The sequence below is a fragment of the Homo sapiens genome, chromosome 12 (genome assembly GCF_000001405.40).
Source record: "Homo sapiens chromosome 12, GRCh38.p14 Primary Assembly".
Taxonomy (NCBI): domain Eukaryota; kingdom Metazoa; phylum Chordata; class Mammalia; order Primates; family Hominidae; genus Homo; species Homo sapiens.
Window position 1 is genome coordinate 132508458 of NC_000012.12, and position 15323 is coordinate 132523780.

Here is a 15323-nt window from a genome sequence, read left to right on the forward strand (position 1 = left end):
GGCAGCGCGCCCATCGTTGTCAGGCTTGGGGTGCAGGACACGTGGACAGGGCTGGGGCCTAGCAGAGGCAGGAGCCGGCTGGGTCACGGAGGGGCCGTGACGTGCCCAGGGCCACAGCAGGAGAGGTGCCTGTCTGGGGCAGCAAGGCGCGCGTTCCGGGCTGGGGCGCCAAGCTGATAGGCCGGCCCCGTTTCCCTGCCGTGTCCATCAGGCTCCGCCGACTACAGGTGTCCAGAGTGTCTATAAGGAGGGGGTCCAGGCTCATTGCCGAGGGCTGTCCTGTCCACACGCAGCGCCATCCGCTCACGTGTGCGGCGTGGGGAAGGGAATACTTGGTCCCGGCAGTGGCTGCAGGCACGTGACTGTGGTCAGTGGTCAGGTGCGTGGCCCAGCTGGGAACAGGGCTCTGCCTGCCCTGCCCAGGGGCCTCCTGCCCAGGAGGGGCTGTCAGAGCAGGTGGGGGCTTCCCCAGCGCGTGGGGCTCTGTCCTGGGTGCAGCTCAGCCTGCAGCTGCTTCCTCCGCGGGGGTCCGCTGGTGTGCGCCTTCCTTCCAGGGTGGGGCTCTGCGCGGTGTCCTCGGCTCTCCTCGGCCCCCTTGGGAATTGGGCTGCTGGAGAAGGGCAGCATGCCTCCTGGGCCCGGGCTGGACGGGGGTTCCGCGGGCGGTGACACCTGCCCAGGTGGACACGTGCTCTTTCTTCCATGCAGGTGTGCTCCCCAGAAGGGGGGCCGCTCCCAGCCAGCCACTGGGACCAGAACGGCCCGGCCCAGCGCCAGCAACAGCTCCAGCCCAGCCAGTCCAGCCAGCCCCAGGGGTCCCTCCCAGCCCCGTCGGCACTCCCGGACCCTGGGCAGCCCTGCCAGCCCTCCCAGCGGCCACTCCTGGGTCAGCGCAGCTGGCCCCAGCGGTCACTTCTGGGCCTGAAACAGCCCTGCCAGCCCCGGCGGTCACTTCTGGGCCCCGGTCAGCCCTGCCGGCCCCAGCGGCTCCTTCCATCCCCAGATCAGCTCTGCCAGCCCCAGCGGTCACGCCCGGCCCAGCCCTGCCGGCCGCATTGGGCACTCCCAGGCCCCAGGCAGTGCTGCAGGCGCCTGCGGTCCCTGCTGACCCCGTGTCACCACTGCCGGCGCCTGCGGTCCCTCCTGGCCCCACGGTCCCTCCTGGTCCCCTGCCTCTACTGCCGGCGCCTGCGGTTCCTCCTGGCCCCAAGGCACCGCTGCAGGCGCCTGCGGTCCCTGCTGACCCTGTGGCACCGCTGCCGACCCCTGCGGCCGTGGGCCAGCCCGTGTCACTGTGGCCAGCCCGGTAGGGCATCCTCAGGACAGCGCAGCCGGCCCCTGTGGTCGCTGCTAGCCCAGTGCCAGCGGTACCAGCCCCCGCGGCCACTCCTCACCCTCCGACCACGCCGACGGCCCGCCAGCTTCCTCCCAGGACAGTGCTGCTGCCCCCGGCGGGCCTTCCTAGCCCCGTGTCAGTACGGCCAGCCCCGAAGGTCCCTGCTGGGCCAGCCCAGCCGCCCCCGGCGGTCGCTGCTGCGCCCCAGGCAGCCCCAGCGGTTAGTGGAAGCCCCAGAGCAGCCCGGCCCACTCACGCCTTCACTCCTGGGCCCGGGACGGCCGAGGCAGCAGAAGCAGCCGCTCATGGGCCCGGAGCAGCCCTGCCCACCCAAGCGGCCGCTCATGGGCCCAGAGCAGCCCTGCCAGCCCCTGCGGCCGCTCATGGGCCCCAACAAGCCCTGCAAACCCCAGCCGTTGCTCCCCATTCCCGATCGCCCTTCACTCCTGGGGCAGCCGGGCCCACCCTGCCGGCCTCTCCTGGGGCTCCTGTGCCAGCCGCGGCGGTCCCTATTGGATCTGGTGCCGGCCCGTCAGCCCCGGCTCTCGCTCCTGGCCCTGGGCCATCCCTGCCGGCCCCTGCGGTCCCGGTGGACCCGATCCTGTGCCCCCGGGATGGCCCGTCAGGCCCCATCTGTGAGCCCTGGAGCCTGATGCCTGCAGGCACCTCCCCATATGGGTTTTCCAGCCCACTCCAGTGTGATCTGCACCCTGGCAGGGCCCCAAGGGCCAAGGCCGCATTGCCCTTCGGGCTGGAGATGCTTTGCCGGACTAGCCTGAGGCCTTGTCTAGACAGGGCTGAGCTGTTTGTCGTTGGAAATTGAGGCTCGGCCAGAGGCGGGAGCCCCTACAGTGCCACGATCAGGCTGAGGCTCACCACACCAGGAAGAGAGATGAACCCGCGTCTGCCTGCCGCCCCGCCATGCTCCCTCTCCCCCCACTGGCGTCACAGTGCCCCCACCCGCGTTGCTGCCTGTGGTGTGCGTGCCCTGGGAGGGGAACACAGCCCCTGAGGGCGGGGACCTTGCTGGGGGCCCCTCAGCGTCTTTCTGTGCCTCTGAATTGCCAATACTGTCCTTGCATCTCTGAGTCTACGTGCACGCTTGCCCCTGGCGTGCCACCTGTGCGGAGCGCGTGAGCCTGGTGTGTGCGTGCTGTGTGTGCATGTGTGCGAGAGGGTGTGAGAGTGAGTGGCGTGCTGGGCATGAAGGATCTGTGGGGTGCTGCAGTTCCTGCAGAGTGGCCCAGTGGCGAATGGTGAAGGTGTGGGTTTCAGTCCAGGCCCTCCCCCTGGTAGTCAGGAGGTGCTGGTGTCCACCTCCAGGGCCCCCAAGCTACAGGGGGCACATGGGCCCATCTGGTGGGTCAGGACCTGCAGGGGACCCGGAGGCTCCCACCCCCACCTCTCAGGACTCTGCCTCCACCACCCCCGTGGGCATGCACTGAAGGGTTGCCTGCAGGGTCTCCAGGCGAGGGGGACCCCACAGGGTGGGCAGCGCCTTCTCCCGGCTTCCCCACAGTCCCCTGCAGCGTCCCGTCTGGCTGTTGACCTACATGTGGTCGGGCACACCTCACACTACAAGGCTACCCCTGGGCCCATCCCTGCCCCTTCCACGGCCCCCACCTGTGGTCAGGTGTTGCCACCCCCTCAGGACCTGGTCTCAAGGCAGCCCCACTCGAGTCTTCTGGAGTCCAAGGCACGCCACTCGCCCAAAAGGGAGGGGGTGTTTGGGGGGGCTTTGACTGTCTCCAGACCTCAGGGGAGCTGGGCAGGCTCTAACCAGTGGTCCTCCAGAGAGCAGCGTTGACCACCTGGACCCCTGCGCCACGTGACAGGAGGCTCTGGTCCTGCAGGCCTGGTCTTGCCCAGCTGGGCTGCCTCAGGTGTCAGGAAGGGGATGGGTGTCCCTGGCTCCCAGGCCAGGCAGCTGCTGACCTCCAGCACCCCGCACTTGCTCATGAGGACCCCACCCCCGCAGGCCCTCCCGGGTCCTGACCAGCCTCTGGTGCAGCATCTGCTTTGGCCTCCGGGCCCCCTCGCTCCCCACCCACCCGGGCCCCTTCCTCCGGTGCTCACCTGGGGCCTCCATCCCAGAAGCGCAGGGCTTATTTTTCTGATTAAAGAAAATAAAAAGTGCCGTGCCACTATTTTTTATAACAGCATCAGCGTTTGTAATTTAAACAGACGAGCATGTGTCTTACGTGATTTATTCCCACAAAGGGCTTTTGTGCTGGGCTTGGCTCGGGATTCATTGCACTCTGACCGAACAGAGGGGAGACCTGGAGCATCTGTTCCTGACCTTCCTGCCCACCCATCTGAGGCCTGGAATGGGGGTTTGTACTGTGCTCAGCATGGGGGCACCGGCCTCCAGATCCCCCCACCGCAAGGCTACTGTGTGGGCCAGTGTGACAGGGGTCGAGACCCCCCTCTCGGCTCATGCCTGGGGGGCACCCATCCCCGGGATCAGTGTCCTGGGGACTGGTGAGGGAGGGTGGTTCAGCTCAGAGTCCTCTGCATGGCCTGGGCACGCGTGAGGGAGCATGGTTCAGCCCAGCATCCTCTGCACAGCCTGTCAGGTGCTTGTGTTCTGCTCACGGAAGGCCGGGGCATGGAGGGGCCGAGTCCTGGCTGCAGCGCCCTGGCTGAGCTCCAGGCTGGACCTGGCACACTTGGGGTGCGGGCTTGGAGGGCGGTGCCATCTCAGAGTCACCCACACAAGCCATTGCCCCGCAGAGGGGCTGAAGTTGCCTTCAGACGTCCCTGTTGTCAGGCGTGGGGAACAGTGATGATTTAAACAGTCTCCTGCCCTCTTTCCACTTTCAGGCCCCTGCCCCTACCCCCGGGCTCCTGTGAGTACAGAGGGGGCCGAGTGAGTAGAGCCATGTCTGGGGCAGGCCTGAACGGGCTGAGGGAGTGGGGAGGGGCCATCCATGCTGGAGCTGAGCAGTGGCACTTGGCTGCCCCTTAATGGGGAAGGCCAGGCTGCCAGGGAGGGCTGAGGAGAGCTGGAAACTGCAGCCTGGGTCCCTGTGGCCAACAGCTGGGGGTGCAGAGGACACCCGTGGAGGAAACATTCAGGACCCAGAGGGGCTCTCGAGGCCTGGCCATGACCCTGCAGCCTCCAGCTCGAACCCACTGTCTGCACTGGCTTGCGGTCGGGGTGCCGCCATGGGGAGGGCAGAGACACCAGGGCGCTATGGTGCTGGACATCCATGTTGTGTCCTGGGGCCCGCGCCCTGGTGGGGACACTGCTGCCAGGCGTCGCCCTGGGAAATGCAGATTTCGTGTGGCCAGATCTTTGATGTTTCTGAAGAGCTGGGAATCCAGGTTTCTCTGGATTTGGCAATGTTGAAATGTTGGTGGTCAATTCTAATTTTTATGACTCACTTTGCTGACCAGAAGATGCAGCTGTGGGCCTGCGAGGCCTCCGGCAAGTGGGATTTGGCTCCCATCACAGGCAGCAGATTGGAGCCTGAGGCCTGGTTGGAACATGGCTTGTTCCCTTGTTTCTGGAAGGGGTTGGTACTCAGTGGGGCTGCGCCTGCCCAGGAAGATGGGCTTGTGTCCTGGCTGCTGTAGAGGGGGTGGGGGCAGCCCAGCCTGAAGGTTGAGGATGGAGGTGTCTTCCGGGGGGTGACAGTGGGGATCTGGGGGAGGCTGCCCGCTGCCCGACTACAGAGACCCTGTTGCTGCCTCAGGAACCCCTCTGGAGACTGGGGCCTGCGTGCAGTGCTTTAGTGACCATCAGCCCTCTGGTCACCTCTGTGGGGGCCTCTGCCCACCTTGTTGTTGTTGGCACAGGCAGGCTGGTCCCCTCCCATCTGCAGAAGGGGTTATGGGGAGGGCGTGAGCCTTCTGGGAGAGGCCGAGGCGTGTTCCTGCAGAGCCCACGGCAGACGAGGGCAGTGGTTGGTTTGTTGTTGGGGGAGGAGAAGGGGAGGTCGGGGTGGATTCCTGGAAGATGGGTGACACTGAGACTGTGGCGGTGGGGCCAACCCCACGAGGGGCCTGGAGCTCTAAGGCCCTTGGGTCCTCCCCAGGTCAGGCCAAGTCCATGAGCCATCGCTGAGCAGCCCCCAGGGAGGGAGGGGTGTGAGCGTGGGTGGGCTCCCGGCACCTGGCCCAGCATCCACGCCTGGTGTGTGGGCATCTGCCTGCAGACCCTCGTCCGAGGGCCCCGTCTCTCTGGACCCCTCACTGCAGGTGAATAGCCACAGTCCCTCCCCCAGGCCCTGCCCTGCGTGTTGGAAACACCACCTCCTGGGCCTTCCCCGTTTGCTCATTCGGGATCCTTGTCTGGGCACTGAGGACGATGAGCTCCGCCTCTGTTCTCGCGTCAGGGCTCGGCTCCTCCGTGTGTGGGGAGACAGGCTGGGATAGCATGCTGGGCGACTGTGGTGAGGGCAAAGACACAGAGGGCATGAGTGGGGGGCTGGGGGGGCACCTGGATGTTCAGAGGCCAGAAGGCAGGACTACCCGCAGGTGCCCAAGGGAGACCCAGGGCCGCCCAGAAGTCCAGGGGGAGTCCTGGGGCCTCGGAGGGATCTGAGCAGGGCTGCGGCCTGACCCAGGATCTCTCTGGCCTCCCTGGCGTCTTCCCAGGTGGCCCAGGACCGCAGTACCAGACTGAGCTGGACTGGCATTGACCAGGCCGAGGCCACCGGCCATCCTCCTCCGGCCAGAAGCTGCAGTGATAGGGGACATCCCTAGCAGTTCACAAAGCTGTGGGGAGACCCCGAGGGGGAAGGGTTTCCATGCTGAGCCACAGGCCCGGCCACGGTGCAAAGCTGTGGGGGGACTCCGAGGAAGAAGGGTTTTCATGCTGAGCCACAGTCCCGGCCATGGTGCAGGGATTTGGCACGAAGCCTCTCCTAGGGCCGGTACACGACCTAGAGGGCTCCCTGGTGTACCCTGGGACCTGGCAGAGTGCAGCTTCTCATCCAGCAGGGGTGGGTAGGGCCCTGGACTCTCCTAGGGCAGCACTGTTTAATAGGAGTGTTATGTGAGCCACATATAGAGTTAAGAAGAAATAAGTAAAATTCATTTTAATGAAGTATTGCGTTTCACTCCATGTACTTTGAAAATAGTATTTCAACAATGTAATCTATATAAAAATTGTCACATCTTTTTTACTCTTTTTTTTGTAGAGTCTGGGAAAGCCAGCAGGTGTTTTACATTTACAACACTTGAGTTTAGACTGGCAGCTTCTGCGCCCAATAACCACAAGGCTGACAGCAGGGAGGTGTGGGGGGTCCAGAACAATATACCCTCTGTGAGTGCTTATCTCATGCCCATGCTGTTCCCAGGCGCCTGCTGTCTGTCTCCTCATCCTCTACCTCATCGGCTCTATGGTTTGAGGCCAGACCTCATGCATCAGGCCAGAGTGTCCTGCCGAGACCCAGGATGCACCCCTCACTTGGCACAGACAAACCAGACACACCAGCTTCTGTCTTTCCCCATTTCAGTGGGTGAACCTGGAACCACCCAGATGACTGGGCTAGAAGTTGACAGTCATTCTCCTCTCCTCACTCCCCTGTCCTCCCACCCAGCACACCCAGCCAGGCAGGTCCTTAGCTTCCACCTCCTGAATCTCTGACCTGAATTTCACTAGAAAATAAGGAATACTACGTCAAAATTTATGGGATGCAGCTAAAGCAATCCTTAAAGGAAAACTAGCTTGTGCTTATATGGGAAAAGAAGAAAGGTCTAGAATCTTAAGGTTTTACCTTAAGAAACCAAAAAAAAAAAAAAATGGAAGGTTTGTAAACCTATAAAGGAAAGCCATAGTATAGACAAGAACAGAAATACAGAAATTAATGAGGCAGGCCAGGTGCGGTGGCTCACGCCTGTAATCCCAGCACTTTGGGACCCCAAGGAGGGTGGATCACTTGAGGTCAGGAGTTCAAGACCAGCCTGGCCAACATGGTGAAACCCGTCTCTACTAAAAATACAAAAAATTAGCCAGGCACGGTGGCGCACACCTGTAGTCCCAGCTGCTTGGGAGGCTGAGGCATGCCAATCACTTGAACCCAGGAGGTGGAGGTTGCAGTGAGCTGAGATCACGCCACTGCACTCCAGCCTGGGCAACAGAGTGAGACTCCGTCTCAAAAAAAAAAAAAAAAAAAAAATTAATAAGGTAGGAAACAGACAATAGAGGAAATGAACAATGCCAAAAGGTGTTTTCAAAGTTGAGAAATCCCTAGCTAGATCAATCAGAAAAAGAAAACACAAATTATGAATATTAGGAACAAAAGGGGAAATATCATTACAGGCACTATAGACACGAAAAAGGTGAAATGGGGACAATTTTATTCCAACAAATTCAACAGCTTAGGTGAAGTGGGCAAATTACTTGGAAAACAAAACTGACACAAGATGAAATAGATAATCCGAATAGTCTTTTTTTTTTTTTTTTGAGATGGAGTCTTGCTCTATCACCCAGGCTGGAGTGCAGTGGCACAATGTTGCGCAAGCTCTGCCTCCCGGGTTCAAGCAGTTCTCCTGCCTCAGCTTCCTGAGTAGCTGGGATCACAGGCAAGTGCCACCACGCCCAGCTAATTTTTGTATTTTTAGTAGAGATAGGGTTTCACCATGTTGGCCAGGCTGGTCTTGAACTCCTGACCTCAGGTGATCCACCCACCTCGGCCTCCCAAAGTGCTGGGAACAGGCGTGAACCACCACGCCCGGCTTAGATAATCTGAAGAGTCTTACATCTGTTAGATGGAGTTTCTGGATGTCCACGTTTTCTGTCTTCAGTGCCACCTCCCCCAGCCTGCTCAGCACCCTGTCGCCAGCCTAGCCTAACACTTGAAGTCTTTTCTGATCGTACCAGGCACATTTCCACCAGTTAACATGCATCAGCTTGTTTAACTGCAACCCTGTAACTATTCCCATTTGCCGGATGAGGATGCTGAAGAAAAAAAGCCGCCTGTAAATAACTTGCCCAAGGTTCACACAGTGAGCAGCTGGACCAGGATTCAAGCCCAGCGGCTTGGCTTTGTTGTGGAATCTGTACCCTGGGCCATTACCTGGAGGGCAGCTTTCTGGGCCTCAGTTTTCCTGTCTGTAAAACGGGGATGTTACTAAATAGTTCATTTGTTTTCGGGTTGTTGAGATGATAAAATGAGCTAACATGCAAGGTTTGTACTGTCTACATAGCTGCCATGATGATATCGATTCCTGCTTTTATTATTATGAATTCTCAGAGTAATTTCTCCCGCCTCCTGGGCCCAGCCTGGCTGGTTTGAGGCCCAGACGCTAGAGGCTTATCTTTGTCCCGGTTGCCAGGCAAGGGTCCTCCTGTGCAGGGCCTGTGGAGAGAGGCACTCAGTTAATCAGTGCCTTAGACACTGGGCCTGGGCCTGCCACCTGCAGGGAGCAGCAGGCTGGGTCACAGGGTCCTAGAGCTTCCTCCCACCTGACAGGGCCCTCCTACAAACCAAGAGTTGGTCCAGGGGAAGGGGCCACTCAGGAGGGCTGGGGGCCACGCCGGCCAGGGTGCTGTTAGGTGGGAGTGGAAGAGGAAGGCTGAGCACCTGGGCCTAGCAGGCACTGCTCCCCACAGCCTGGGGCTAGCCGTTCCGGGGCGAGCATGGCCACCTCTGCTTTCCCAGCCTCACTCTGGTCGGGAAGGCTCTTCCGACTGGCATCCATTTTGTACTTTTGGTCATTCCGCCCCTGTTCTGGGCCTGGGGCTGCAGTGACAAACAAGACAAGTGACCGTGCTGCCCTCGAGAAGTTAAACTATAACTGGGACAACAGCAGAGCGGGTGGAGACTGTTCTGAGTGTGAGCACAGCTGTGCCTGGGAAGGAGAGAAGGCACCGTTAGACCAGGCGGTCAGGGAAGAGCGCTCTGGGTAGAGGGTGTAGCCACCCAGGCCTCTGGTGGCGTGTGCCTGAGGAGCCGAGCGGGCATGGGGTGGGCAGACAGGGCTAAGGAGGGGCCTGGTCTCATACAGAGGGAAACCACTGAGGGTTTTAAGCCAGGGAACAACGTGAGCTCCTGTGTTTTTACAAACTCGTGGGGGAGGCAGCACGGTTGTGGGGGTGGTGGCGCCTGTCGGGAGGCTGCTGCAGCCGTTCAGGAGGGGGTGGCAGTGGCTTGAATTAGGTCATTCTTCTGTTGGACAGGGCGCCAACTGAGCAAGACCAAGTGATGCAGCCCAGGCGGCAAATGTGGTGGAGCCAGGAGTCCAGTGGCCCCAACTCCAGAGCTGGCGGCACACACCTGCTGGAGTCCACTCTGACACAGCATAGCTGCTGTTCCCACCCCTCCTCCGGCACACAGGACTGCACAGGCAGGGCCTTGCAGACACTTACCTGCACTTGCCCACACACACTAGTGTCCCCAAGAGCCTGCTGGCAACGCACTTCCTAGGCCTTAACTCAGCCAGCATCCCTCATATCATCTGTAGTGTATCTCATCCATCCATCCACCCATCTGTCCATCATCCACCTGTCTGTCCATCCATCCACCCATGCATCTACCCATGCATCCATCATCCACCCATCTGTCCATCCAGCCACCCATGCATCTGTCCATCCACCCACGCATTCATCATCCACTCATCTGTAGTGTATCTCATCCATCCATCCACCTGTCTGTCCATCCATCCACCCATGCGTCCATCATCCACCCGTCTGTAGTGTATCTCATCCATCCATCCACCCGTCTGTCCATCCATCCACCCATGTGTCCATCCACCCATCTGTCCATCCATCCACCATGCATGCATGCATCCATCCATCCATCCACTTGTGCATCCATCCATCTACCCATCTGGCCATCCATCCACCCATCTGTCCATCCATCCACCCGTCTATCCATGCATCCACCCATCTACCCATCTGTCCATCCACCCGTGCATCCATCCATCCACCCATCTGTCCTTCCATCCACCCATCTGTCCATCCATCCACTCAGGCATCCATCATTCACCCCATGCATCCATCCACCCATACATCCACACATCCATCCATCCACCCATCTACCTGTCTGTCCATCCATCCACCCATGCATCCACCCATCTACCCGTCCATCCATCCACCCATGCATCCATCATCCACCCATCTGTCCATCCAACCACCCATGCATCTATCCATCCACCCACCCACCCGTCTGTCCATCCATCCACCTGTCTGTCCATCTATCCACCCATGCACCCATTCATCTACCTGTTTGTCCATCCATCCACCCATGCATCCATCCATCCACCCATCTGAATCACAATAGAAGAAGGTGGAGCAGCGTACTGGAGTGTCCCGCACTGGGCGGGCAGTACCCTGCTCCCTGACACTGTGCTGACTCAGGGAACACTTGGTCTCTCCCAAACATTGCCTGAGTCCCTGTTTACTGTGTCTGCCTGTGCTAGGTAGGCAAGGATAAAAGACAGCCCCGCCCACTGGATGCTTACAGTCTACTGAAGAGAGACACAGAAACAAGCAACCCCACTTCTCTTTTAGAGAGACACTTAGGGGACTGTGGGAGCCTGGAGGAGCTCTTTACCTAGCCTGGTTGGCATGTGGAGTGAATGGAGTGTCAGGAACGGTTTCAGGAAGAAGCAGGGCCACAGCCATACTGCGTGGTGTTAGCCTGGAGGAGGGGATGGCATGCTTTGCTAATACCAGGGTCCTGGAGACAGACAACAGAGTTTCCCTCATTCTGGAGCTTCTGACTCCCCACTCCCAACTCTGAGAGTCGTTCTCCTTCCCATAGGCTATGCAGTCTCATACAGCTGGGCTGCAGTGCCACACCTCACCAGTAGGTGCTGCCTTCAGCTCAATGTGACTCCAGCCTGAGCTTCGAGCTGTGGGTGCTAAGAAGTGGCTACCCCTGGCTGGGCGCGGTGGCTCACGCCTGTAATCCCAGCACTTTGGGAGGCCAAGGCAAATGGATCACGAAGTCAGGAGTTCAAGACCAGTCTGGCCAAGATGGTGAAACCCCATCTCTACTAAAAATACAAAACTTAGCTGAGTGTGGTGGCAAGTGCCTGTAATCCCAGCTACTAGAGAGGCTGAGGCAGAGAATCGCTTGAACCCGGGAGGCAGAGGTTGCAGTGAGCCAAGATCTCACCACTGCACTCCAGCCTGGGCAAGACTCTGTCTCAAAAAAAAAAAAAAAAAAAGTGGCTACTCTTCCAGTCTGAGGGTTGTAGGTTGAGTATGTGTGGAAGAGAGCCCAGAGGCTGTGCAGGCAGCGTGTATGGGTGGTGAGGAAGTTGGGCCCCTCTTCCAGTGCCCCCACCAGCAGGTACACAGCCTTCCTCGCACTCCTCCAGCACCCCCTCCTTGCACCCCTCCAGCACACCCTCCTTGCACACCTCCAGCACCCCCTCCTTGCACCCCTCCAGCACACCCTCCTTGCACCCTCCAGCAACCCTCCTTGTACCCCTCCAGCACACCCTCCTTGCACCCCTCCAGCACACCCTCCTTGCACCCTCCAGCAACCCTCCTTGCACACCTCTAGCACACCCTCCTTGCACACCTCCAGCAGCTGTGGGAGAGCTCCCTTTCCCTGGCTGCTCCTGCTGTCTGGGACGCTCCCCAGGGCTCTCCCATCTCTTTCTTTGCAGATGGCAATTTTCCCGAGGCAGCCCCTGCTCAGGTTGACCCCGGAACTGGGTCACTTCCTTTCCCCATCAGGCTCACCTTAGGAGTACAAGTTCTGGAGCAGCACCAGTGACTGCCACAAAGCCCCTGCCCTCCAAACGCCCGAGGGTGGGGACAACAGTCCACAAAACAGAGCAGGATGCAGTCGCTGGTGTCACGTGCTGTGGGTGCGGCATCGGCTCCTCCCGACCAGGGACATGAGCCCAGCCCCCAGGAGGTAGCAGCAGGGGACTGTGGTAGGGCTGAAGGCAGGGCGTAGCATCTGCCTGCAAGTCCCTGTGGCCTGGGCAGGTTCGGGACAGAGGGGCCCCAGAGTCGGGCTCTGCTCTTGCTGAATGTGAGGGGCCCATAGTCATCATCCATGGCTCAACCAGGCCTGGGGACACTGTGAGGGCTCTGGGACTGTCCCTTCGGGAGCGAAGGCAGCGGAGAGAGGTACCACCCACCCACAGTTGTGCCAGGCACCTGCTCTCAGGATTCGGGGACGGCTTTGTGGGCTCCCAAAACAGGCAGGAAACCAGGACCAGCTGGGAGCTGGTAGGGACTGTGGGAGGTGGGGAAATGGAGTGTTGTGGACGAAAGCAGCCACTCCCTCTTTGCCCTGCCCTGCCCTGCCCTGAGCCAGGGAGCTGGACACCCACTGCAGTCCCCTGAGGCTGCTCAACCTTGGTGGGTGGGGAACTTGGAAAGTCTCAAGTCTGGACCCATGACATCCAGTCCCTGGGGGAGGCCCAGGAGTCCTGAAAGCTCCCCGAGGGAGCACTGTTTGCACTGGGCCAGGAGCCATGTTCTAGGGGCTCAGCTCCTTAAGAGGAAGCGGGAGCTGCGAGGAGGAGGGAGCGCAGGCTGTGGGGCTGGGGCAGGGGTGCGCTGTGTCCACACTCATTTCCACTCAGACACGGATGGCGGCAGCTCCGCCTCTGCATACCTGTGCTCCATTTCTGCAGGGGCGTCGCGTTCCCGTCTCCTGCTGGAACTGTGGCCCAGCCCAACTAGGGGGTGTGGGGGCCTGACCTCTGCCCCATCTCCCAGGGGGCCTGTCCTTGGCCTGGCAGGTCTGAGGAAGCCGTAGGCCCCTTCTCAGGGTTCTCCAGGGTCTGCATTAGAACAGCAGCCCAGGCAGCCCCCGACTCTCACCCTCGCTCCCAGGCCTGCAGGTGCAGAGGCTGGAGGCATCGTGGCCGGCCAGTCTCAGTTCATGCCCCTGTAGGATAGTCCTTGTCTGAATGTGATGCCATGGGATGGGGTGTGAGAGTCGCCCTGGTGTGATCCGATTGGTGTGAGACTTCACCAGGGCTGCAGAGTATGGCTGTCAGAGTTGTGCACTGCACCGCTCCAGGGCTGCCATTCCCACCGTGCCGTATGTAGTGCGTGCATTTGCCCTGACCATTGCACATTCCCCGGGAGGGCACCTTCTGCTCAGTTTGCACAAGAGGACACGGGGGCTGGTGTGGGGCCTCTTGGGTGCTCCACTTTGGGCGGGGCCTGCGCAGGACAGTGCGTGCTTAGAGCCTTGGGGCGGGTCTGGGGAGCAGGTGGGGCGATGAGTCCGTGTGCATGGGGTGAGGTGTGTACAGGGCCAGTGTGACTGCTGTGGTAGAGAGGGGTGTGGGTGTGTGTATGCAGCCAGCGTGGCCCCTCAGCCTGCCGGCGCCTGTGGGTCTGCGTGGGTCTCTGTGTGCAGCCGGCGCGGCCCCTCAGCCTGGGGTGGTGTGTGTGCCTGCGGGTCTCCGTGCACCCTAGAGGGTTTCCTGGCTGCATGGCGGGGCCACTGCTGGCTCCCGTCTCTCTGGCCCCTTCCCAGCAACAGGACAGCTCAAGGGCACTAGAACCGGACAGGCCAGGCCGCACCTGAGCCCCCGACTGAGCCCGAGCCTCCCAGTGGAACCATGTTTCTGTGGGCAACCCAGAGGCAGTGATTTTTGGACGTGCAGCCTGGAGCTGGGGGACGGTGTGGAGGGAGGGGGTTGGTGAGGGGAGGGGACCTTGGGGGAGGGGCTCTGTGCGCCTGGAGCCACCATGTTCCTACGGTTACTGCCAGAACCCTCAGGGCCCCAGTGCTCCTGGTCCCACCAGCGGCTGGTCTGCGGCTGCCCAGTGGAGTGCAGCTTGTAGGAGCAGGTTGCTGAGGGTTCAGGAAATTTGAAGCCGGCTGTTAAACTGTTAGTGGCTTCCATCAGCTTTGGTTTGGATACTGACGTCACAGAAACTGACAGGCGCTCCATGCTGGCCCACAGGGAGCTGTTCCTCCTGCCCTGCTCCTGCTGCACGCCCCACCTGCTGACATAACTGGACAGACTCAGCCTTCCTTCCCCACCCCAGGAAGCACAGGCTTGGTGGAGCAGCAGGGTGCCCTGTGAGGAGGGCAACTCAGGGCTGCAGTGTGTGTGCTGGGCCGTTGGTGCCGTCAGTGAGCTGTGTCCGGGGCCCTCCCCGGCCTGCGCTGCCTTTCCCCCCGCACCTGCCGCCTGGCAGACGGAGCCACCTTCTGTGTGCACTGGGAACAGTCACTCCTTTGTCACTCTAGGGGGGGCAGGGGCTTGGGTCGGCTCTGCTCACTGCCCAGAACGGTACCTGGCTCGTCAGGGCTCCATAAGCATCGGTTGGACGGGTGGACAGATAGGTGGGCAGACCACAAGGCTGGGGTGGGCACAGGTGCAGTAGCTCCTGCCCACCCTCCAGGGCAAAAGGGGCCCCCTCTGGCCCCAGACGTGGACTTGTCATCCAGGGACTGTGATCTTGTCCCTCCAGCTCCTGCTGGGAGTGGACGTGTGGCCTCCCCGGCCCCTGGTGTGGCTGGCAGCACTGAGAAGCGGCTGGGCTGAGGGCAGCCACCTTGGCTGTTTGAGGTCCTGCCTGGGGACAGAGTGGGGTGACCAGGACACAGATTCCCAGTTCTACAGGGTTTTTCGAGACGTGGGACTTTCAGAGCTAAAACCGGCCACCCGAGGAAGGGGAAGAGACCCCACCCCACGACCGGCCTGGCCACCTTTCAGGGCCTCCGGGTTTGGGAGGAGCACACGCAGGGCAGCCCACCGAGCCCCTCTGTGGCATGGGGGTGACGCGTTCCATCTGCGCCCAGCCCTGACCGGAGGTGGCTTTTGTGTGGGTGTGAAGTGTAGAGAGGTGCCCTACTCCTCACGGCTCAGCTGTGTGGGTGTTTCCGACCCACCTCCCTTCCCATCGGCCAGGTGTCCTTGGGCAGTGAGCAGCCTGCACCACTATACTCAGCAGCCCTGTGGCAGCCTTTCCCATCGCTGCCAGGTACTGCCCTGAGCCTCTGTCCCTAGAAGTGAGTGCAGGGCTCATGGGGCCATCGCCAATGGTCAGACTCCCCAGGGGGCCGGTGATACACGGTTCCTGGAGCGGGCTGGAAAC

The 15323-nt window shown here is 60.7% G+C and overlaps 1 protein-coding gene across 24 annotated transcripts in view; it reads left to right on the plus strand.

Annotated features, from left to right (window-relative positions):
- Positions 1–15323, plus strand: part of FBRSL1 (fibrosin like 1) — a 95038-nt gene that overhangs the window by 18307 nt on the left and 61408 nt on the right. For 3 of the 24 annotated variants that reach the window (NR_168498.1, NM_001382741.1, NM_001382742.1), the window contains one exon: positions 709–3498. The exons of the other annotated variants lie outside the window; for them this stretch is intronic. Coding sequence is in view for 2 of the 3 variants with exons in the window: in NM_001382741.1 (NP_001369670.1) it covers positions 709–1989 (1281 nt within the window). In the remaining variant the exon portion in view is untranslated. Of the gene's footprint in view, positions 1–708; positions 3499–15323 lie in introns of those variants that run through there. 24 annotated transcript variants of the gene reach the window in all.